Genomic DNA, 1,509 nt, shown 5'->3' on the forward strand with positions numbered 1-1,509 from the left:
TCTTGGCTCCTTCTTCATTTTCTAGGCTTAGGAGCCTTTGAGGTTAAGGATAGAGATGAGAAGTGGGAGATTTCTTTCTATTTAGGTATTTATTTATTTAGAGACGGAGTCTTGCTCTGTCACCCAGGCTGGAGTGCAGTGGTGCGATCTCGGCTCACTGCAAGCTCCGCCTCCCGGGTTCACGCCATTCTCCTGCCTCAGCCTCCCGAGTAGCTGGGACTACAGGCGCCCGCCACCACGCCCGGCTAATTTTGTTTTTGTATTTCTAGTAGAGACTGGGTTTCACCGTGTTAGCCAGGATGATCTCGATCTCCTGACCTCGTGATCTGCCCGCCTCGGCCTCCCAAAGTGCTGGGGTTACAGGCGTGAGCCACGGCGCCCCGCTGGATATTTCTTTCTTATGTGATACACAGTTGCAAAGAGGTTCATAGTCTTTCTCTGGTTCAGTCAGCGTCTGTGTAATGTCAGTGGCTCTGATTATGCTGTAGTCTTTGCGAATTGGTGTGCCTGAGTTTCTTGAATTAAGAATCAATTTTGTCTTTGCCTTTTCTAGCTTGAGAACACCACTTCCCAAGGAGGGTTTCCATGTATCCCTTTGTTCTCTTCAGGTATGGATGCCTCATCCTTTCTCCAGGACAGGCTTAGCAATCACCCGGCTTTGTAGTTGCCTGTGGAGATGTGCTGCTCCTGTCCCACCTCCATCCTCTGCGTTCCTCGTGAGAAAGCCACAAGAATGGCAGACCATCTTTTCATATGACCTGAGGTGGCTGGAAACTGGAATGCCATGGAGCTCTTCAAGGAGGGATTAGCGGGGACCAGAGAGATTGTGTTACCTGCCTTCAGGAATCTCTAGACTGGAAGGTGGCACTGGGTTCCATGCTCATTTGTGCCCCTAAAATTCAGAGATCACTTGTTAAGCATCCCACTCTTCTTCACTCACATGTGGGATGGGTACAGAAAGCAACAAACCAGCACTCTCTTAGGCTCCTACAATGCTCTCCCATGAACTCTGTGGGAGCTCATGGGAATGCATAAGAACTGCATTCTTATGGTGGCAATTGGGTAGATCTATAAGTTCTGCCTATCAGTATCCTCCATCAGAAGAATGAGATAGCACTCTTTCACTCGGAGGATGATCTTTTGAAATCTCTCTCACTTCTCTTGAAGAAGGGGAAAGCACCTTCCCTCCCTCCCCCATGAGGAAGTGGGAGAATAACCTCGCACAATATTGCATACTTCATCTACAGGCTGACAACCACCTAGCTTCTCACTCCTCTTTATTGACTTGGTGAGGGTGGGATGTCAATGGGTTGTAGAGAGTTCTGGCTCCCGTATGGCACTGACTGGCTCTAAATGCAACCTGTTTTGTGATACCTCTCTGAAGTTCAGCTACCTTGCCTTTAGACGTGATCTCCAGGAAAATGTAACAAAATTTTTTCTCTCTCTCTCATCAAGTGGTTGGGCTTCCCCTCAACTCTCACACCAATAAAAGGACTATATTGAGCCTCT

General features: G+C 48.2%; 1 annotated feature.

Moving 5' to 3' along the window:
• Nucleotides 1,109-1,258: an enhancer, noted in NCBI's record as "active region_22123". NCBI's record gives its function as "activates an Ori minimal core promoter by ATAC-STARR-seq in GM12878 lymphoblastoid cells {active_cell/tissue: GM12878}" and the evidence as "EXISTENCE:reporter gene assay evidence [ECO:0000049][PMID:35858748]".

This window comes from Homo sapiens, chromosome 4, assembly GCF_000001405.40.
Source record: "Homo sapiens chromosome 4, GRCh38.p14 Primary Assembly".
Lineage (NCBI taxonomy): Eukaryota > Metazoa > Chordata > Mammalia > Primates > Hominidae > Homo > Homo sapiens.